General features: G+C 37.4%; 1 annotated feature.

The window, feature by feature from the left end:
- Nucleotides 22,615–23,312: an enhancer, noted in NCBI's record as "OCT4-NANOG hESC enhancer chr4:96719717-96720414 (GRCh37/hg19 assembly coordinates)". NCBI's record gives its function as "activates a minimal SCP1, AML or CMV promoter by ChIP-STARR-seq in naive and primed H9 embryonic stem cells {active_cell/tissue: H9 hESC(naive and primed)}" and the evidence as "EXISTENCE:reporter gene assay evidence [ECO:0000049][PMID:30033119]".

Raw genomic sequence — 24,339 nt, 5'->3', positions numbered from 1 at the left:
TTATTTCACCAGTTTCAATTCCTGAGCCAAATGATAAGCTACATTAAATTAAAAATTGTCAATTCAGATCTTCTTTATTGGCCCTGAATTCAGAATGGAATTTTGGAGAACCAGCCTAGTGCAACTTACCAAGTCTTCTCTCACACATAAAGCTTTGCTTCACCTGTGCCTGTTTAGGAAAAGCTCTGCCTGCAACATCGTGAACCTTGAAGACATCTACATCATTAAAAACCAGCAGTTTTGCTGAGGCCCATAGTCTGCCTGATTTTCTTACCTTTGTTAAGGGCTGTGCCATTGCTGAGGTCACTGTGTTCTCATTTCTGCTTGCCAGGCTACCTGTGCCTGCCCGTTGGCCAGTGTTGGGGTGTTTTTATTTTGCTCCCTGACATTTTCCTCTCTGTGATTTATTTTTTAACAAGTTGCCTAGCCTAAAAAAATGTTGAGATTTCCTAGGGGGACTAACAAATTGAGAGTTTAAAAAGGAATGTTAAATGATAGTCAAATATCACATTTATTACTGGTAGAAGATGGAGTTGAGGGAGAAAGTCAAATTCACTTGCTGATCTTACCCCACAAATAGGCAGATTTACCCACCAAGACACAAGTAATACTGTAAAGTTTCCCACAAGGCAGAGTGGAATGGCAGGCAGCCCATTAAAGGAGATGAAGTAAGCTAAATGGATTCCTGGGTTATATTTTCCAAATTTACAAATCAAATAAGTTCTTTCCCTCCTATGAGGGAGGATGAATAAAGGGACGGTGTAGGTGAAGAATGTTACAAATTTGAGTTCTCTTCATATGGAAGGAAACATCAGGAATAAAGATCCCTGCCAAAATAAATAATTTTATTTGTCCTAATATTAAATAACTAATAAATGTATTTATTTAAGATTGGAATAAAAGTAGAGATCAGGGAGCTACTAGAACTTTTGATAAAGGACTTGATCTATTCTCTTGATCATTATTTCTCAAGGGGGATCATTATTTGCATTTTGAAAGAAAATATTTTTTGTGCAAAATCAACCTCCCTTTGTGGATAATTTAGCATTCCTGGTTGCTGAGCATTCAATGACAGTATCACTTTCCTGGAGTCACTCTTACAATAAAAAATATTTCTGCATGTTCTTAGGTATTTTCTAAGTGGTGGCAATTTCCTCAATCGCTAACCACTATTCTAGGTGATCCAAAAGAATTCTCATACTTCACTTGGAATTTTGAAATATGAGCAAAAATTGGATTAGCAAAGAGGGAAAAAATTGTATCTCAAGCAGAGGAAACATATTAGATGGTGGGGAGGAGCATAGCCCATTAAAGTACTGAGAAAACATCTTTGAGCCTAGAGCCCAGACAGTGGAAGAAGTACTGGCAGAGGAGGCTGGTGAGTCAGATGTTGAGAGTGTAAACGACTGAAGTGTTTTTTTGTTTTTTGGTGTTTTTTGGTGTTTTTTGGTGTTTGTTTGTTTGTTTGTTTGTTTTGAGTTGGACTCTCGCTCTGTCGCCCAGGCTGTAGTTTGATGGTGGGATCTCGCCTCACTGCAACCTCCACCTCCCAGGTTCAAACGGTTCTCCTGCCTCATCCTCCCTAGTAGCTGAGAGTACAGGCTCCTGCCACCACACCCAGCTAATTTTTGTATTTTCAGTAGAGACGGGGTTTTCACCATATTGGCCAGGCTGGTGTCTTGGCCAGGCTGGTCTCGAACTCCTGACCTCGTGATCCACCCGCCTTGGCCTCCCAAAGTGCTGAGATTACAGACGTGAGCCACCATGCCAGGCTGAAGTGCTTTAATAAGGGAAAGGCATGTTGACATTTTTTGTTTTAAAGTGAATCATTTCATTGCATGATTCTTATTTGCATTAAGCTTATTTTGAATTGATATTCATTGTTTGCACTAACATGAGCACCTTTCTAATTCACATGATGTGCGTGTGTGTGTGTGTGTGTGTGTGTTTTGCTCGTTTGTTAGATTGGCAGGATTTTTCTAATAGAATAAGAACATTTCATATAAAATGAAAATGAAGCGTCTTTTAATTACCCATGCTTTCACTCCTCATTGATTTCTACACCATGTTATTGCATATAAGATGAAAACAAATCCAATTGTTCCATCCAGAACATACTGCACATGAGTCTCTTTTTCACATTGCCTAGTCTTTAAAACTTTAGGAAAGAAAGCTTCATAGATCTGCTGATGAAAGTGTTCAGTTAATTAGTAAATACTAAAGTAAGAAAGGCTTGTTTTAATTGTTCATTTCCACACTACCACCCTGAGAACAGGTCCTTCTCGTAAAAGAACATAGATGCTGACAAAAAGGGGAAAAATAAACCATAAGTGATATAATGACTCCAAAGGAAATATAAAGAAATAGACTGGATATTGCACATTTCTTTGTTTAAACATTTAATCGAGATGGAAAATTTATTTTATTTTTAAGACAAGAGACAGTGATTAACCAGGTAACAATGTATACCTTTATACAATATGTATAGCAAAGTCCTAGTTAATGAAGCTCATAGAATAAAGTCATTATGCTTAATCAAGAGACTATAATTTCAATATATCTAGTATACCATAGCAAGACCACGGTTAATTTTTTTTTGCCTCCATCTAACTAAATTTATCTTAATTGTCTGCAATATTCCTTTTGGAGTTTCAGAATTTATGCTTTTACTAAGTGATTAGCCTAAAATAAAGAATTTCCCAAAGTGTACAATGCTATTTTCAAATAAATACCTGACATAGCCTTCAATATTCATTTTATCAGTTTCTAGAAAACCAAACATATAATTATGCCGTAAATTTAGGGTCTAAACTTAAAGTATTTTCATTCCCAACATATGCTTTCTCCATAGTAATTACATAGTGCACAGGAAATTTACAAAACATGTATTTTGGAATTCTTGTTTTGAGATGATTTTTATATTGCAAAGGAAATACCTAAGACAGCATCATGCTAAATAGATGCCTGAAACCAGCAGCAAATGAGATCCTTGGAGAACAGGAGCAATTATTTTATCTGAGGAATGCCTCAATACAACTCCATACATAGCCTTTCTGAGAATTCCAAAAATATATTCAAAAGTTTATTCATTCTATAACATGTATTGAAAGGATACTATGTGGAAGGAGATATAATCAGAGAGGGAATGGGCTGGCACTAAACACTGCAAAGACTTTGGATTTTAGTTTTAATAAGTTGGAGCTACTAACAAGTTTTAGGAGCAAAGCTACCAACTAAAGTTTTAAGAAGTATATGTAAATTATTGCTTATAATAAACTTTAAATATAAAATATAAATTAATGTCAATTTGAAAAGAATTTATTCACCGAGTACATAAACCCAGCACTTTGGGAGGCCGAGGCAGTCAGATCATGAGGTAAAGAGATCAAGACCATCCTGGCCAACATGGTAAAACCCTGTCTCTACTAAAAATACAAAAATTAGCTGGGCATCGTGGCACGCGCCTGTAGTCCCAGCTACTCAGGAGGCTGAAGTAGGAGAATCAAATCACTTGAACCCAGGGGCAGAGGTTGCAGTGAACTGAGATCATACCACTGCACTCCAGCTCTGGCGACAGAGCAAGACTCCATCAAAAAAAAAAAAAAAAAAGGAAAAAAAGAATTTATTCTAGTACTTACATGTTTGTGCTGAATATATGATAAAGAGCTACTACTTTGTTACTCTTGAAACTAAAACAAAATCATTTCTTTCTTCAATAAAAATTAACAAACATCATCGCCTTGATCTCTGCCATCTATTTTAAATAGAACTGTTTTTAAAAAATTTTTTATACCAAGATCTTCTGCTTAATAATTAGAAGTAACAATGTGAACTCTTTCTACATATCAAGAACTGTTCTAACAACTTTGCAGTTTAGAGGGAGGTATAGTAAAAAAATAAAAGCAGTTTATTAATATTCACTATGAAAATGGCTTTAGAGGAGGTATGCACCCGATTGTGTGAGTGCTTAATAGACTCTCCAGTCTTGGGTGGTTTTGTCACTGGATAATCTTCTCTAAGACTTTGAGCCAATTTTGAAGAAAATGAGGAAATAATTGTATTTATCTATGTATTTATTCAATGGTGTGTATATATGTGTGTATTGAAAACAGGTGGAAAGAGAGAAAGTTAATGAGGGTGGAAAAGGAAATGGGAACTAGATGACTGAGGAATGTGTGCAAAGACATGGAGGCCAGTGTATATGGGACTGTAACATTGTATTTATGGAAGTAGAGTTGAAGATGCTGGGTGGCCAGAAATTAAGGTAGAGTTGCAAACTGGATATGAAGAGGTTTCTATTACAGACTAATGAATTTTGGACTTATCCTTAAAGATTTGATGACCTACACAATATGCAAAACAAAGAAGTGGCATGATAATATTTGCATTTTAGGAAGATCATTCTGGCATTATTATGTCTTGGAGTGAACAGCCTAGAAGGCTGAAAATATTCAATCAGCCAAGTAAGACATTATAAAGACTTTAATTAAGGCTGTCTGGTAAAGGGGATGGGAAGTAATGGACACTAATGAGAACCATCAAAGATGCAAAACTGATGAGAGATGGTGCATGAATGGTGAGGGCAGGTGATGTCAAAGCTGCATGATTCCAGCTTATTCAGCTAGGTGCATAGTGGTTTCATTAATTGAGATAGGAAATAAAAAGGGAAGGAAAAGTGTCTGGCTAAAAGGTCAGTAAAATTAAGGATTTGATTTTACACATATTAAGTTTGAAGTGTTGTGAAGCAGTTAGCTTTTCCAGTAGGCATCATGTCTCAACGGAAAGATTTGAGCTGAAAATATAGACATGAGTTTAACAGCCTAGGCATGGAAACTGCATGAGTGTGTGCCATAAAAAAGAGAAGAAAACTGGGGCCAGAAACTTGGGACAACTAATATAAAAAGGTCATGAAAAGAAGAAAAAATCCTGAAGAAAAGAAAAAAAAAAGCCATGCATGACAGGGGTAATATCCTACAGCAGAAGGATATATTGCTTTATAAACCAAAGAAGATATCAATAGGGAAGAAGAGGATCAACACAGTCACATACTGTAGGCAGGATACAAGCAGTTGTTCTTAAATCAGAATCTTGTATTTCCAACTGAAGCCTAAAATTCTGCTGGTAGCCAGGAATCTTGTTTTTATAGCTTCCTTTTATCCTACAGAAAGCCTAGTGTATTATGTTTGTATTCAAGTGCTTAACGTGATAAGTGTAAGATAGTCTGCATCTTTATAAGTAAATATTTTTAAATGAAGTAATTAATGATATCACTTTTGTGTGTATAAGTATATATGGCATAAATACATTAACATTTTTAAGATATTTTAAATCTGTAAATATATATGGGTTATATGGCTGGGCAGGCTCATTACATTTATCTCAATAATAAGTTGTTCCTATTAGTCATGATTCTTATTGATACATTGAATAAGGTTTTTCATATTTACTCCTTATATTCAGATATACATGGGTTCTTCATTTTATGGTACAAACATGGTAATTTTAGAAATGGAATATATTCTACTTACTTACTAAATAAATATTAACTACAAATTGGCAATGGTTTGGGCAGACTCCCCTGCAGATAATCAGGAAGTTATAATTCATGAGGTTCACTTATAATAACAACTTAATATCAATAGAATGCTAGCTTATAAGTCTAGCAAAAACTTCACTAGCACTCTTAAATTAATATTTAAATTTATATGGCTTATTCCTACAGATAATTATTGTTAAGAGGATTAAAAGTGACTATTTAATATTACTTCCAGACTTATTTTGTTTTCAATATGCTGCTCTTGTTTGGGTAATGGAAATACAAAAGACATTTTAAGATGGTATTGCAATCATAATTTGTAATCTCAAATGCTCAAATGAATCTTCTGATTCAGGCTGGGCTTAACACAACAGGCTGTGGATCCAATGTGCCAAGGAGGTCATGTCTGGCTGACAAAGGAGCTACCGTTCAGCTGCAGGCAACATTTTTGTCCCCATGCTAAGGTTTTTAAATGCTGTATATCAAATACATTCACTAATGGTTACCATGGAGAATAGGAGTATTTCTTTGGGGTATAATTCATATTTATACATAATGTCAAGTATTAGACATGTGATTTTGTCTTCTGTCTTCTGTACTTACGGTATACTTGGTTTTTCCTCATGGCATTTGGTATTTTAATTAAATAATGCCTTTCTTCTTTCCGTGCTAACATGAGAAAAGTCTGACTATGTAATTGCAGGGTTCCATTTTATTTTCCTTGTTTAGATTACCACTTTATTTTAATTGTATATCTTGCAGAAAGAATTATAAGCATAAGTTTGAGATGGTTATAATTATAGTGGCATTTAGGTTAAATAGTGGAGAACATATTTTCCAAGTTTAAAAGCACACTTAGTTCTCCTAGTTTGGCGATTCAGAACATTAGACTGAAATGGGTGCTGTACTGATTGAGTTGTTATATTTTTGCTCAAAGTTTTTAAAGGGACAACCAAATAAGCTGTGTTTCTGGAAGAAAAATTTCTGAGCACATAAATTTAAAATGTTTTTTAATATGTAAAGCCAAAATGTGGAATATCAGCAACCTTTAAGTCACTCATGTATGACTTTAAATGCCTAGTACTCCTCAATAGCTCATCTGGTACTTATCTGTACAGGACCTCTCAGCTCCTTGGTGAAGGACAAAGGGGGAAAGTGCATTTCTATTCTGGCGAGTCTGTTGCTGAATCTAATTGGTAATTGATGGGGGAAAGTTCTGCTTTGTAATTCACAAGGTGGGGTGGGGAATTGTCTACTGGGAACTGTAAGTAAGGCTAGAAGGAGTCTTATTCACCCATTGTGCCCCTTTCTTAGATCGAAGTTAAAAATCGAAAGGCTGTGCTTTGTTAGAAAATAGTATCTTTAGAGATTTCCCCCCCAGAGCATTTCAAAGTTCAATGTTTAAGAATTTGGCTCTTGCATTTGTGTGAACTGGCACTCTTTTCAGCAACTTCCAGTACAAAATGTAGGAAACATGTCCTTGGATACTACCCACATTATTTTTCAGCCCAATCCTTGATGTACCCTGTATCTTCCTGGTTTTCCTAGACCTGCTCAACTCCAGGTATTAAAAAAAAAAATGCATATGCTCAAACTCCAAACTTCAGCCTTTGTCTTTCAGAATTTTCAGAGATAATCATATTCATACTTGGAACATTGGAGAGTAGATGGATTTTGGAATTAATCTCACAAGCCCAGGCTACTCCAAACCCAGAAAGCTACAAGCATTTGTTACCCACCCTTCTTTCTCCCATCCTTCCAGTAATGAGGACCTGCCAGAGAAGTGGGTTTCTTCCCAATCACTGATTAGTATTTCAATTCCCCTGCTAGGATAAGAAAATTCCTAGGAAGCTGAGGCTTTTTGCTGTGGCTTTCACAACCTAGGTTCTATCTCAGTTCTTCTGTGGGGAGTATTTATTATGCCCATAGTCAATGCCACTGGGTTTGCTTCAAACAAGAGTGAATTCCTGGAAGAAAAAAAGTGCTTGCTGCCTGACTCCTATGTATAAGTATGTTGCCAGGAGATTCCTGTCACAAAGGCCCAGCCCCCAGATCAGATACTATGATTAATAATATAAGCCTGGAAGATTCTAAGTTTGTGCTGCCTTGTCAGCCCTCACTTGAATCGGTAGCACCCCTGCTCCCACCGATGCCATTCCTATAGGTGAGGTAGACCCCTCATCACTGACCCATGCCCATTCCTGTTTAATCTCCTAAATATCATCTGTTGAAAATATACTCAGGCTTTTGGCTGAGGCTTCACTGACTATGACACTGTCAGCCACCTGATATTTTAATAAAAGATAAACAACCAGCTAAAAGAGCAAACTAACAGGACACATAGGTATGAACACTCTGTCAATGGGTAGAAGTCAAACTTATAGAAATATACATAATTTAAGATTCCAGAGCACTTCAATATAGCAGTAAAGTCATTATCTTCCCTTCCAAATCTATCTCCATCTTCCCTCATTTCAGCTGCCAGGGGATTCCTCAGCTTCTCCTTCCATCCCAAATCTGAAATGATTTTACTTTTTCACATGTTTAGTATACATATTGTTTCTCTCCTATCACAAATTTCTACTCTAAAAGCAACAGACATAATAAAACCTAGAATCTTCTTTGGTACCCATTTTCAACCTTCCCTTCCACCGAGGCATCCTAATTTGAATAGAGGAGTTTGCCTTTTGCAAATAGGTATGGGTCCAGAGAAACTGATTGCCCACCTTAGCTGATTGCAACCCATGCTCCTAACTAAATTCTGCTCGTGTATGCTCATTTTTCACGCAGCAGTATCACAAACTCAACGGTGAACTGAATTGAAGAGAACACTGCTTTATTTGGTAGAGAAAACAGAAATAAAGCAAATGTGAATAAGTGCCTTAAAAATATCTGTGTATCTGTATCTAAATCTCCGTACTCTATATCTATTTAATCTATGTATCTATATCAGAAACTTCTAGAAGAATATGTAGTTATTGTCCATTATCAGAAATAACAGTATTCACAGTCAGTAATCACAGCGAAATTCAGAATCCAGAGGATGGTGCAAAGTAATTAGTTACTGATCCCAGTGGATTGCCTTAGAGTCTGGACGGAACCCAACTTGAATGAGTGCCTAGGAGCAATTTCCCCCTTGGTCTCCATTCCTCTTTCTTTGGCTAGTCCTCTACTCTGACCTGTGGGTCATAGTTCCATATTTCTGTAATACCTTGAAATCAAGGCTAGAGTGATAAATTTGTTGTTTTATCCTGACATAATAGTAGTGGGTTCCTACATTATTCAGATTGGAGCAAATACAAGAAAACTATGTCAATACAATAACAACAAAACACAAAGTACCACCAAAAACAAAAAAAAAAAGCTTCTCTTTTGGTTATATTGATCACCTTCCTCCTATAATGTTGCACTAACTTGGTAACTTATTGTTCTAAAAGGCCACCTTGGTGGGGGAGGGGAGAAGAGGTGGAAAGAGAGTGAAGAGGACAGAGGGCTCTGTCTTGCTCAGTCTCTTTCTCCCTCTCTCTTTTCTCTCTTCTTTTTCTCATCACTGTACCTCTGCATCTTTCTCTGTGTTTACATGTAAACAAGACATCGACCAAGCACGCAGTACAGATTATAATCAAGTACACTTTACTTTTGTCCTCCTCTGTCCTTTTAAAATATAGTCAATTTTAGTAACCTTCCTCTTCCTTCCAGTGATCATTCTAGCATGTCAAATGACTTTTTTTTGCCTACTTACAGATGACACTATAGTCAGGAACTGAGTCTCAGTTTGGAAGTTACAATGTCCATTTTATGATATGAATAAAATATTTGACTTTAATTTCCTATTAGTCTTCTCTCCAGAGTCTCTGTAAGCCAATATGGTGTCTCTGCACAAATTAGAAAAAAGTGCCCTTTCCTCTGAGCAGACCCAGAATCCCCAGCCAGGTGAGAGGACTTGGCCAATGTAACATTGGCTGAATTTCAGCCCCATCTCAAAAGTTCAGGGGAATTCAGAGAACACTATAGTCAATGTTGAGGGCATACCCTACACAGCCACGCAAACACACCCCTTGTCCCTGCCCCTTTCCCACAGTGGGAAGGTGGGGGCACAGCCCCTTTGCCATTCGCTCTCTTCCTGATCACCTCCTCCCCCAAGAAACTAGCAGTTGTTTAACCTAGCAAGGTCAAAAGAGTGGAGGGAGGAAAAAAGTAAGAGGTAATACAGTACTTTATTACCTGGGCAATTCTGCACCCTGACCATGATGGTAATTCAAAACTGACCATTCATCTCATGAGTTGCTCTTGAGGGATCTTCCTAGGTTCTCTGCTGAGCCCCTTTCTCCTGAAGCTCCTTTCATCTTGACAGATGAACCTCTCTTCTGTGTGGTCATTTTAATGCCAGGGCATCCCAGGACTATAGACCCTTCTGCTGAGACCTCCTTGCCCTTCCATGAGGCCATATCTAGTGGGACACACAATGTACTCCCAACACTTCTTTCATCCTACTGACTCTCTCTAGTGTTCTGTTGACAAAAAGCATCACAATGAAAAATACTTGAAGAGATTTATTCTGAGCCAAATACGAGTAACCATGGCCTGTGACATAGCCTTCAGGAGATCCTGAGAACATGTGCCCAAGGTGGTCGGGTGCAGCTGGTTTCATACATTTTAGGGAGACAAGAGACATCAATCAAATACATTTAAGATAAACATTGGTTTGGTCCAGGAAGGCAGGACAACTCAAAGCAGGGTGGAGGGGGTACTTCCAGGTTATAGGTAAATTTAAAAATTTTCTGATTGGCAATTGGTTGAAAGAGTTTTGTATTTTTGTTTTGTTTTGTTTTTTTGAGACAGAGTCTCACTCTTGTTGCCCAGGCTGGAGTACAATGCTTGATCTTGGCTCACCACAACCTCTGCCTCCCGGGTTCAAGTGATTATCCTGCCTCAGCCTCCCGAGTAGCTGGGACTACAGGCCTGCACCACCATGTCCGGCTAATTTTGTATTTTTAGTAGAGACAGGTTTTCTCCATGTTGGGCAGGCTGGTTTCAAACTCCCAACCTCAGGTGATCCGCCCACCACAGCCTCCCAAAGTGCTGGGATAACAGGCGTGAGCCACTGCACCTGGCCAAAAGAGTTATTATCAATAGAAAGGAATGTAAATGTTTCTTATCAGACATAAGGTCTGTGTTGATGTTAATGCTAGAGGGTATAATGAGGCATATTTGGCCCCCACTTCCTGTCATGGTCTGAGCCAGTCTTTCAGGTTAAATTTTAGAGTGCCATGCCCAAAAGGAAGTCCATTCAGATGATTGGGGGGCCTTAGAATTTTATTTTTGGTTTACATTTCCAAATATACAAATGCATCTCTTGTCCAGACAAACCGCAAGACTTAAGACCAGCAGATCCCGATGCAGTAGTGCTCTCCTCACTCAGCCACCAATTAGTATTTTTCTTGCTCTCTATATTTCCCAGACATAAGTCAGATCCCAATCAGCAATCCATTCCATCTTTCACAGGTAGGATTCAGGCCTCAATCCTTTGCGTCTCTCAACTTCAGCAAATACATTTCAAGGCATTCCAAGTATCCCTTCTTGAAGCTCTCTAGCTAGCCTTAGTGTCAGAAGGTAGCAACACATCCACCCCCTCCCCTGAAAATGTATGGGATGGGGCGGCAAAACACAGCAAGGCAACTGCTATCTCCAAATAAATCTCTTCATTGATCACTTCACAAAATTATGCTTCTTTAAAAATGATCTTTTAGCCAGGCACCCATAGTCCCAGTTACTAGGGAAGTTAATCTGGGAGGATCACCTGAGCCCAGGAGTTCAAAACCAGTCTGGGCAACATAGCGAGACCATGTCTAAACACCAAATATATAAATAAATAACAAAATAATCTTTTAGACTCTCCAAGTGGATATAAGATTCAAAATACGAAGTAAGCTTTGGCTAATTTCTTTAACATTCTGCATGAGTCACTTTGTCTCTTTCAGTTGGTCCCTCATATTGGTAATATAGTCATAAATGAGTTGATATCATAAATGAGACCCTTTCTTAAATACTGTTTATAAAACTTGCCATATGTGTCAGTCAGCAGAGATAAAAATAACCCAAACATCTCAGTGGTTAAAAGAAAAAAAGGTGTATACTTTGCCCCTGGTTTGTGATCCTAGGCTGAGGGCCCTACTCTGCATTGTCATCACCTTTACTCCCATTATATGAAACACTCACAGCTTCAGTGGTGGAGGAAATGAGGAACATACTACAGGATATGCTAGATCTTATTTATCTGGCTAAAGAAAGTTACGTGAGCTCGCTTGAGTTCAACTGGTAGAAAAGCATCATTCTCTTGCAGGGAGGACACTAGATATTGGTAAATTCTATTACACCACCCTAGGCATCCCAGCCTTGGGGAGAAACTGGAGAGAAGGCATTCAGTAGTTTAGTCAATGATTATATAAAAGAATGACAAAGGATCAGATATGAGCCAGGAAAGAAAATTTCACCAATTCTGTCTTGGGGCTTTCACACCAGGTAGAGTGGCTATTTTAAGTTTCTTTTATAAAATATTATTTTCTTTCAAATATTGTAAATATACTTTTTTCAACGGTTATGCCATCTGGTGGTACTTAATGAGATTAGGATATAACATATAGGCCAGAGAAAAAATAACAATTATTAAACACCTCTTATGTGTTTACCTAACAAGTGTGGGCATGTTACATCACTTTATGTGGTTAACATAGTTAATTCTTTCCAAAAAATCTTATGAAGGAGTAACTATCATCCCTGTTTAAATATAAGGAAACTGACATTTTAGAGATTATGTGGTTGCTAAAATTTAGCAAATTGGTTAAGAGACAGAATTCAAACTCAGTTCTTAATCCAAAGCCTTTGGCCCTTCCATTAGAGCACCAGTGGTTGATTTCCTGGGACTTTGACTCTTTTAGTCATCTAATATTGTTCCTAGAGGACTCTTCAGGCTGAACTTCCTAATCAGGATTCAGTAAGTCAACTTAAGTAACAGCAGGGGAATTTTTGTTTTTGTTTTGGTCCGAGTGGTTGTTTTGTTTTAAACACTAGTTTATGAGCCAGCTAATGGTAATTTTATTATTCAAAAAGCTACTTATTGTGCACTGGAATATGCAGAAACATCACATACTCTGCTTTCCAAGAAAGAGTCATTGAACTGAATATAAATTAGTAAGAGGCTGGGAAACAGAAGATTCCAGCAGACTCTACCCCTACTCTTTGACTATGCTCCCTTTGAGTGCCATAGGCCTAGCCAAAGAAGAAAATCATGAAATTGTGGAGTTAGAAGGGAATTGGGGCTCATATGTCAAAATCTGCATATTCAACAATTGAGGATACTGAAAGGTTGAAAGTCCAAAGAAAGTTAGTGATTATGGTAGTCAACTCCAAAATAACCATCAATGATCTTTATTTCCTGGTATTATGCCCTTGAGCAATCCCTTCTCATACTGAATCAAGGCTGGCTGTGTGGTCAATAGACTATGGTAGATATGACCATGTATGAAGTTCAACTCTGGCTCATAAAGCTACTGGAGCTTTTGGCTTAGTCTCTGATCACTTGCTCCAGGTAAATTCAGCCACCATCTTGTGAAGACACTCAAAAAGCCCTGTGGAGAGGCTCACATGGAGAGGATGCACCTTGTTAGCACCAACTTACCAGCCATATAGTGGGATCCCTGGGGAATGGATCCTGCAGCCCCAGTCAAGCCTTCAGATGACTGCCAGCCCAGCTGACCTCTAACTACACCTCATGAAAAACTGAGCCAGACCTCAACTCAGCTCCTCACAAATTTTTGGCCTACATATCCTGACCTTATGGGATAGTAAATGACCATTGTAATTTTAGGTCATTAAGTTTTAGGATGCTTCATTATGCAGCAATAGATAAGTAATATGAAGACTTACTCTGGGACAGAAAGGTCATTGGAAGAGATATACAAATAGATTTCTGTTCATATTCTGAACTCCAAATATACTTTGTTTTTTCCATGGCCAGTGCCACCATTCTCACAGTTATATCTGCTCTGTTTAATCTTCATATTGTCCTTCTCTCCAGCATATTTGTTATAGCATAAAATTATCCTATCACTTTTTCTACTTAAATTAACAAAACTGTTTTTCCTGTGTCCCAATATTCTCCAGCTAGCAACTCATTTCTAGGATCTTCTTTATAGAAACACCCTTCCTTAGAGTTATCTGTAATAGCTGTTTCTGTTTCCTTGTTTCTAATTCTTTTTAAATCCACCTCACTCATTCTGTTATCCACACTTTTCTGAAAGCATTTATAAGATTACCAGTGACCTCATGTTGCCAAACCCAATGGACAATTCTCAAGACATATTTTATTCAATTTTTCCATAGTACTAGAGCTGATAATAGATTTCTCCTTGAAATAATTTCTTCACGAGGGCTGCTGGACACCACATATTACCGAATGATCTCATTCAAGTTGCTTAATCTTCCTCCTACTGCTCACCTCTAAATGTCAGAGTGCCCAGGACTCAGTTTGGATTTTTCTTTTATCAAATTCACTCTCAGTGATTTCAGCAAGGCCCATGGCTGACAACTCCAGAATAGAGATCTATATTCCCAAACTCTCCACCAAGCTCTAGGTCAGTGTATCCAATAACCTGATTGATAGCTACACTCAGATGTCTAGTTGGCCACACACATTTAATATGAACAAATCTAAATTCTTGATTTCCCACCCTAAGCCTGCTGTCCTCAGCCTTTTACACTTCAGCAAGTAGAGTAAGCAAATCTGGTCCTCTCCAGTCTTTTCCACCTCCTAGAGTGAGAAACAACACTGGAGTCATAATTATGTTCTATGGTTCTTACATAATCCCACCCCCGAACCATCAGCAATTTATGCAATATCTACCTCTTAAATACCTCCTCAGTAAGACTGCTTACAACTTTGATAGTCACTGCCCCAGCTCAGCCACCTTCCTATCTCCCTTGGAGCAGGATGCTGGTTCCAACTGGTCCCCTTGCATGCCTTCTTACAACCTCACAATCTATTTTCTGCACAACAGTTAAAGGAATCCTTAAAACTCTCCACAGGCTTTCCACCATAGGAGGAATAAAAGTCAAACTGCAGCCTAAAAGGCCCCAGATGAGCTGGTTTATCTAACGCTAATCTCATTTTCCTGCCTCATCCCTCTCTGGGATCACTGGCCTTCCTATACGGGAAACACACAAAACAAAACCCCACGTCAAGTCTGCGCACATGACATTGACTGGAAATGATCTTCTCCCATATATTTACATGCTTCACTTTCCAATTTCCATCAAACTCTCCTCAAAAAAAAAAAAAAAAATCCTCTTTCAAGCAGGCTTTCATTAACCACCTTATGTGAAAATACCATCCATCTCCTTCACTCTCTATACCTTATCATAATTTAATATTCTTCATGGCATTTATAACCTTCTGTCATATTACCTTGCTCATTTATTTTATTGTCTGTATTCCCTACCATAACATGAACCCTATGAGTACAGGAACTTTTTCCCCGCTTTGCCACTGTCTAAACTAGTGCCTGATATATAATATGTTTTTGATAAATTATATTTTCGAATGAATAAAGGAAGGAAGGATTGCTTGAGTTCTCGAGAGTCCTATATTTTGAACTGTTCATCACTGTTTCTCTAGCACTGAGTCCTGTGGCACATATGGGTGTTCCATAAATATTTATCAAATAGCTAAATGGGAATATGATTGTCATGGAAACAGATACACATCCAGAGTGAATGGGGAGCCCATGCCTTGCCTGATGCCCCAATGCCGTCGCTCCCTCTGAGTACTGCCTAACTCATACAGTACCCTGTATGAGTTTAATTTTTCACTGGTGAAGCATTTCTGAGGAGTACATGTTGAGGAAGTGATCGAATGTCGTAAGGAACAAATGAAGGGATACTTGGTCCCAGAAACTATTTTAAGAAGAGATGGCTTCCAATCCTGCATATAGCAGAATAAAGAAGATAAAAAGTGAGAAGAGGAATTGGATTTGGTCACTAGGAAGTGATGAATAATTTCTAAAAGAAAAGAATGTAATAGAAAGTCAAGGAAGAAGCAAGCTCACATTAAGATTAAATGAGTTAAATATGGTGGTATTAAAATCTGACAAAATTTAGATGAGGTTAGCAGAAAAGAAAAGGAGAGTTACTTAAGTGAGTAGAGGATTCATTTAACATTATCTTATGTTCAGGACTGATGATTCCTAAGCTTGTTTCTATGTGGGGATTGTAATAACTATTAATCTCTATATTTTGAAATGAATATATCTTTTCCTAAATATTTACAGAGTCCTGGGTAACAGATTCACAATATTTAACAACAGCAAAAGTCCTTTCTAGAGAAAAGTTGTGATCTAAATTCATCAGAGATTTTTGTCCTAACTTGTCTCAAGCCTTGTTCTGTTTAAATAACAAATCAATAATTGGTGATAATTAATAATTACAATTTAAAAAGGGACTTTTCAATATACTTTAGAACCACTGATACTAAGCCATGTAAATATAATAAATGAGAAATAATACTTTGTAGTTACCATTTAGCTTTTATTTTATGACCAATAATATTTCAGAAACATTAACTTACTAATTCTTCCAATACCACCTCAATATTAATCACAACTCCAGTAAGATAATTTATTGTAGGATATTTTTCTTATTTTATTACTTGAGTAATATGAATTTTTAAAATTCAATGACACAAAAAGTTGTCAAATATTAAATCTCTTATGCCCACAAATTAACATTTGCCATGCAGTAGAAAGTAATTTTTATGATGGTTTTTAATTTTTCACTGGTGAAGCATTTCTGATGTCCTTATTCTATTTTTTTCTTAGAAATAAATGATCAACTAAGTAAGCAATAGAAACACAAGCTTTCTGTTCTTAAGGATTTATTAAACATATAAACCTTATTGAAACAATATGTGATACATATATACCATAAATGTTATTACCAACTTGCAGAATGCTGCATCTAGAACTAGAGTCTAAGTATTGGGGGAAAGTCGGTGTGTTTATAAGCACCTTAATTTATCTGTAACCCATATTTTGTATTTTTTTAACTTTATGAAACTTTATTTTTTGATATTGTAAGGAAATTTATATTATCTGCATATTTTAACATATATATTCTAAATGCACATTTATTGAACAAATACTCTGAAGTTTCTATTAAATGTGGTTTCAGATTTGTTATATTTTATTATGCATAATGAAATTACTGCACTTGTAGTAATTTCCCAAGTGAGGCCTGGGATAAAACAAATATTTTGCCTCTATTCTATTGTAATTTTAAATCTACTTTTTTTTTTTTTTTTTGAGACGAAGTCTCTCTCTGTCACCCAGGCCGGAGAGCAGTGGTGCGATCTCCGCTCACTGCAACCTCCGCCTCCCGGGTTCACGCCATTCTCCCGCCTCAGCCTCCGGAGTAGCTGGGACTACAGGCGCCCACCACCACGCCCGGCTAATTTTCGTAATTTTGGTAGAGACGGGGTTTCACCGTGTTAGCCAGGATGGTTTCGGTCTCCTGACCTCGTGATCCGCCCACCTCAGCCTCCCAAAGTGCTGGGATTACAGGCATGAGCCACCGCGCCCGGCCACGTTACTTTAATTTTACAAAAATGACTGAAATATATTTACCTGAAATCTTCAGATAAAATGCAAAAGAGATGTTTGTGTTTATTAGTTTTTCTTATTAAATGTATGGATAAATATCTCAGATGTTCACATACATGCTAGCTGACATTTGATCATTTTGTGGGGAAAGATCGCCTGATCCCAAGTACGGTACTATCTTATTTATTCATTATTCAGTCAGGTAGAAACTGCTACCCACCTCCTTTTACAAATAGAACAACTAAGTTGCCCAAAGATACATATTTGGTAAGAAGCTGAGGCAAGACTCAAACATGTTCTTCTGACTATGGGTCTAAACTATTCAACTCTGCCTGGCCTCTCAATTGCTTCATGATAATCCCAGAACCCTAATAGTATGGTTGTGCACAGCTAGGAGTAAAATGCAAAATAGTCATGACTTTAACAAGATGGAGTGTCTTTATCTTTCTGCTGAAAGGTGCTCTGCTCGAGAGAGTCCCTGGCTGAAACAGCTAATCCTTTCAGTTCCAGAAGCAGCAGCCCTTTCTCCTTTATTACTCCGCCTGTGCATGGAAACATGATATCTTGATTTGCATGATCATGTGCCACGCTAAAAAATTAAAGGGCACTGGGGTAGGAAATCTGCAGTCTCTGATGCACACGTACCAAAAGAGTAGATAGATAGATACATAAAAAGATAACCTGGAAGTTATCCAATTCCAAGATTTAAAATTTGACATCATTTCACAGTTAGGGTTGTAATGAAATAATAAGCTTGGTTATTTTCCTTTACCAAGACTCAAAATAATTTTTCTTTGACACAAGTAAAAGTCTCCTTGTTTTACTTTCTTTTTTATGTTGGTTTTCATTTTATTTGCTTGTTTGGGAATAATAAAGGAACGGCAATGCTCTGACCCACTGCATATAGAAAAACAGCCGGTATCGAGAAAGCTCACAGGGAGCACCACCTCCCCATTCGGTCCTTGCTTCCTTTGAGCTGTGGCCAGAACACCTGGAAGAAGCTAGTAGCCCCCTCCAGGCTGAAGGGGCTAGCGGGAAGACTGAGGAAGTATAAGCTGTCGCTTTACTCCCCAATGCCAACTTCGATGCAAGATGGCCCCAACGTTTTTTAAATGTCGTTTCTGTTTTGGAGCTATTTATTACAATTGGTTTCTTAGTCCTAAGGAAACAGAAAAGTTAACTCCAAATAGCAAGGTATGTTTTGGGCCCCGTAGGAACATGCAGGGAAGAGAGATGAACAATTGTCATACCTAAAACACTTCTAAATTTATAATGTTTTTTCTTTCCTGCACCAGCTGATTTTTCTTCATTTAGGCTACAGAACTCCGATGGTATTCCGGGTATTGATAGAGCAACTTTTGTGAGACAGAGACTGTGTTGCCTTTTTGCAACACTTTGCTTTTTCCTATTAAATATCAGCCCTTAAAACTTTCCTTACTGGAATGGGAAGTGGATTAAAATAATCCAAAATAAATTAAGTAGCAATAGCAAGTTAACACTAGATCACAATCTCTGCCAGACATTCTAACAAAGGTTTCATTCTATGCAGTCATGAAAATAATGTGGTCAAGAAAATTTTGTGTTAACTTCTACTTGCCACAGGGAGGCTTTAATTAACCTGTCTTACGAGTCACTGAGCCTTTATGAATTCCATTTATATTGCATTGTGGGAATATGACATTTACTTCTTCACACTTTTTTTTTACTTTACTTTTTTCAGTTATTGCCATGAAAAAAGTTTATTGAGCAAATGTCACTGCAAAAGAAGCCATGGCCTAGTAGTGGCCATACCTATTTGACTGCTAAAAAAAAGCACCTTAATACCTAAGTGATGGATTGTTAGGTGCAGGAAACCACCATGGCACATGTTTACCTATGTAACAAACATGCACATCCTGCACATGTACCCCGGAACTTAAAAAATAAATGAAATATAATAATAATAAAAAAAGAAAAGACCTGGAGTTTCCTAATAGGGCCTTTAATACCCAGAAATGGTATCCTGATCTTGTTAATTAAGTGACTTGCAAAACAAATGCATCAAACCCAAAGGAAAAAGCCAGGTTGGTCATTTGCAGAAATCCCAGAATTAGAGGCTGGGAAGGGTAAGAGAGAAGAGGACAGGGAGAAGTTGGTTAATTGATAAAAAAAAATCACAGCTAGGTAGGAATAACGTTTTCTTGTTCTATAGCACTGTAGGGTGAATGTAGTTAATAATTTATTGTATATGTTCAGAAAGCTAGAAGAGAGGATTTTGAATGATCTCAACACAGAGAAATGAAAAATGTTTGAGGTGATAGCTATTGTAATTCCCCTGATTTGATCATTAGACATTGTATAAATGTATAAAATCACTGTGTGCCCCACAATATGTACAATTATTACATGTCAACTGAAAACAAAAGGACAAAAGTCTTTGAATGCTCAAAAGTAGCACAGAGTTATTTTCATCTATTAAAGACAAAATCCACACTTCCTTGATTTTGATATTCATAACACGAAAGATGTCAAGCTCATGCTTGATCTCTCTTAGGTACAATAATATATGTCAGTGACCAGTAAAGTCACTGCGTCAAAGCCATCTGCACAGCTCCAATTCCCTCAACACCTGGTACAGAGAAGGTTATTTTGTGTATATCCAGAGTCTGACAATCTTTCAGTAATTAGGACAAATTTTCACTGGTTTGTGGATACTGAGAAAAGAAAAATATTATGAGTGTTTCATGAAATGCACCATGACCTTGCACTAAGATAATTTTATTTTCTTATAAGATAAAAAAGAAAAGGCAAATACAATTTAAAGAAGTAAAATAAGGGCAAATCTCAACGCAATGCATAAAGTAAATATGAGGTGAAATACAAAGGCTGGAAGAATTGATTATGCCACTTGGTTGCTCTTCTGAGGAAGATAAAAGAGGCAGGGACATGCTCTGCTACTCCTTGTGTGTAGAAGTCGCGCTTGGAAACAACACACTGACATCTCTGCCATGCAGATCACTCCGATAAGCTAGTGTGCTGAATCAACTATTATCATTTAGGAACTTCCTGGGCCCACTGATTGACAGCTACACAGTGTATCTTAATGGTCTTTTTGCAAGCCAATTTTAATGAAAAATAAAATTACATGGAAGAGAATGGGATCAAAAGTAAAAAAGAAAAAGTATCAAAAATGTTTCACCAGTCATTTCACATGAAAATAGCAAGGACTCTAGTCCTAGGTAGATGATGAAAAAAATCCTGTGACCACTCTCGTGTTTAGACACTTTACCAGAAACACTGGCAGAGTACGTGTAATATTAGACGTTTAGCACAGTGGTTTCTTTGTGACTGCTTTCATTAATAGATTCTTATCTTAGACTCTTTCTTAATGATCACAAACCATCATTGGCCCAGATATGAACCTCATAGACCAGATCACCATCAGCTCGTTGACATTTGACTGATTACCAATTCTCAGCACACACATCAGAAATCAAGTGGTTAACAATTTTATTTGTATTTTACACACATTCTTGCTACTACTCCAAACTCAAAAGCTCTTCAGCTCACAAAAACAGTTACTCTTTCTAGCATGTTCTGTTCGAGAATTCAAGGGCATTCAGTGCCTCATCTCAGCCCATAACAAGAGCCAATATTAAAAAAAAAAAATCAAACTTCTGCTAAAGGTTCACAATATTCATGCCTTTTAAGGAAAGTTCCAGATGCATCAGAAAAGGTAAAGAGTTATCAAACTTTCTGGAGATTTTTAACTTAATACTTCTATTTCAGTAATTTCAAATATTAATTTAATGAAGAGCTTTTATGGGTCTTGATGAAAGAAGGGTTAACAGATTTATTTTAATATTCTATTTTCTGTAAAGAAAAAAGTAATACTGATGATACTATTTATAATTTATGTCTCACATACTTCTATTAATAATTTAATATGACTTCAAGAAGTAGAGTCAGTGGTATATGTAAGAACAAAATAGGCCAAGCATGGTGGCTCATGCCTGTAATCCCAGCACTTTGGGAGGTGAAGGTGAGAGGATCACGAGGTCAGGAGATCGAGACCATCCTGGCTAACACGGTGAAACTCCATCTCTACTAAAAATACAAATAATTAGCCGGGCGCGGTGGCGGGCGCCTGTAGTCCCAGCTACTCGGGAGGCTGAGGCAGGAGAATGGTGTGATCCCGGAAGGCGGAGCTTGCAGTGAGCTGAGATCATGCCACTGCACTCCAGCCTGGGTGACAGAGCGAGACTCTGTCTCAAAAAAAAAGGAACAACAAAATACATTGTTTGAAGACAATAGAAGCTGACTGAGATATGGGTACTTGAAAGGCCAATATTTTGGCAATGTCGTGACAGTGGCTTTCTTTAAATCTGTATTAAACATTCATTAAGAAAAAATGCTGAGTACTTTGTGGAGGAAAAGGTGTTGATTGCAATGCTTACCTCCCTTTTCTCTCTATTGTTATCCTTAATTCTTCCATTCAAGCCCAAATTCACATGCTGTCTGTTTAGCAAAGCAAGACTAGAGGTTAACTGGTCCCACACATCTTAAAAGAGTTTACCATCTATTGTCACTTAAGAATCCTCCGTGAGTATCTCACTCCCTTCAAACCCCAAACACCTTATTTCTTATAAACCTATACACTACTCATCTGGTTTACCGTAAGTCAAATTATTACTACCTCATTTTTGCAATGAAATGTTCTTTTGGCACCATTTATAGTGTCCCCTGGGCAATTAGCCTTTGCCAAGTTCTTTAATACAGCTTCTGGGATCCAAACTACAGGAATGGCCACCATGAGGTTCAGGAAATTTGACGCCAAAATATGGCAGCTTGGCATTTGAGAAGACAACAGAAGCAAGAAAACCTCTCTTACCTCTTTACTGCCATTTTCCCCTGAAGCAGGTCATGAAAACATTCTCTGATCTTCCTCTAAAATAGGTCATAAACAGTATTGCAAATGGAAAATAAAAAGTATAAATACATAAAATAAAATAGGTCACAAGACCTTTTTCCAGAGGGGCCCATTCCTATAGTCAGAGGAAAGGAATGAAGACACAGGAACACAGAGAAGAATCTGAACAAACAGACCTTGCTAAGTCCTCCCCTCTCCAAGTTATTACCATTAGATTATACCCTATTTTATCCAATCACTTGTACACAGCTGTCTGCTCTTCATGAAACCTAAGCATAAAAATACACAATTTTCCCTTTTTTGGGTGGTCTTCATTGCTGAAGGCTCCCGTGTCATATAACTTATATTAAATAAATTTGTATGCTTTCCTTTTATTACTCTGTTTTTTTATTATTGATGCCTCAGCCACGAGCCTTGCAATGGGTAAGGAAAGATACTACCTTTTGTCTCTTACAACACCCGTAAATGTTACTGGGCTTGTTGACCAGAAAAATAAAGAAGCTATTAAAACAAGATATATATTTAAAAAGAAATCAGGTACAGAAATTAAAGAAATTGAAATTAACCAAATAATAGAATGACCCATGTCATACTTTGCTTTCTTCCAACAGCCGACCCTGAGACAAGGATTCAGGGCAAGTGGTTCATTTGAGGGGCGAAGGGAACACCCACAAGAAAAAAGGAATAAAGGGATGTGAAAGAAGGAAGGGAAAACAATTAATAAAGGGCTACATTATCTAGCCAGCCATCACCGCAGGTGACTAAACTTAATCTTCAAAGGGACACTTGAGAGCCAATGGAAAATACATAACATCAGAGTAAAACTCTCCAGGGAGCCAGGAAGGTGGGGTAATAGTATATCAGCTCTTATCAGTCATTGGTTGAGGGTTGCTGACAGAGGTATCAATTCCTCTGCACTTTCAGCATGCCAAACAAGAGACGATGTGGGCCATAGCTGCATAAGAAAGCCTACAGGCTGAGGCATGCTGCCCAATAGAGAAGAAAGGGCACCAAATACTGATGAGACATTAAATCATTAAATGCTTCTCTACAGAGGCCTTATGGGGCCTAATGAAAACATAGACTAGAGATACAAATGGATTAAATGCTCGAATTTGAATCTATAAAAGTAAAAGACTAATCAGCCATACCATGGCTAGGTTATGTCTCTAAGCCACTGAAAACACATTCTTTATTTTTTCAAAATGTCGTTAGTATTTACTGAAATGAAAATATATGCCTCGTCAGAAAACATGGCACATTAGATGTCATGCCCTACTGTAAAGGAAATGAGGTTTTTAATAGTTCAGGGAGACAAGAGACTCCTCAATTCAAATTTCCCCATCACAACTGGATAAAGAAAATGCATACAGAGAAAGTAGCCACTGACTTCTCAGCCTTTAAGCATACAGCTGTATGAATTGGGGGTCTAACTTCAATTCCTGGGGAATCAGAAGTCTTTAAATGTCTAAAATAAATGTCTATTTTTGGAAGCCCCAGTGGAAAGCCAACAGTGGGGGAATCCCCTGAGGCAGAACAGTTCCACAGGATGTTCAGAGCCAGGCCTGTGAAGGGGAGAACAATTCACACCCCAGTGCTGCATCTGCTCTCAGCCTAAAAACAGAACCACACCTACCACTTCTGTCCATCTGCCACCCACAACAATGCTTAGTTCCTTTCGAAATAAAGCGTACATGCTCATGTTATAGAAACAATTTAAAAATAATTAGAGAAAAACACATTTCTTTAATGTGATTTTATTTTTCTGAGACATAATTTTGGAGGCTAATACATACAAGTATATCAAACTAAAAGATCAGATAATGTGGTCAGTGAAATGATTGAACTTAAAACAAAAATTTGTGTTAAAAATATGATATCTGACATTCTCGCCAAATCACTCACTATAAATTTCTTAATAATAGCTTCAGATTTACTTTTGGTTCAGTAACTTTTGTATCTACTACAAATAATTTAAGGAAAATATTAGTCTGGATTTTAAAAATTTATTCAAGAAGCTAAAACTTAAAAAACAATCAAACAAACAAACACAATGATTGTTTGGGAACTGCCAGAAGAGTTATCATTGCCATTCTAAAACCAGAAGATAAATCAAGGTGTCCTCTAAATTTATTACTAGCCATGGTTGGTAGCCATAAGTGCCTGATTACCACATCTATTAGTTAGCTATTGCTACATATCAAATTAGCTAAAATATTAGGTGGCTTAAAGCATTAATAATT

The sequence above is a fragment of the Homo sapiens genome, chromosome 4, assembly GCF_000001405.40.
Source record: "Homo sapiens chromosome 4, GRCh38.p14 Primary Assembly".
In the NCBI taxonomy this organism is placed as follows: domain Eukaryota; kingdom Metazoa; phylum Chordata; class Mammalia; order Primates; family Hominidae; genus Homo; species Homo sapiens.
This window is presented reverse-complemented; position numbering and strand designations above follow the sequence as displayed.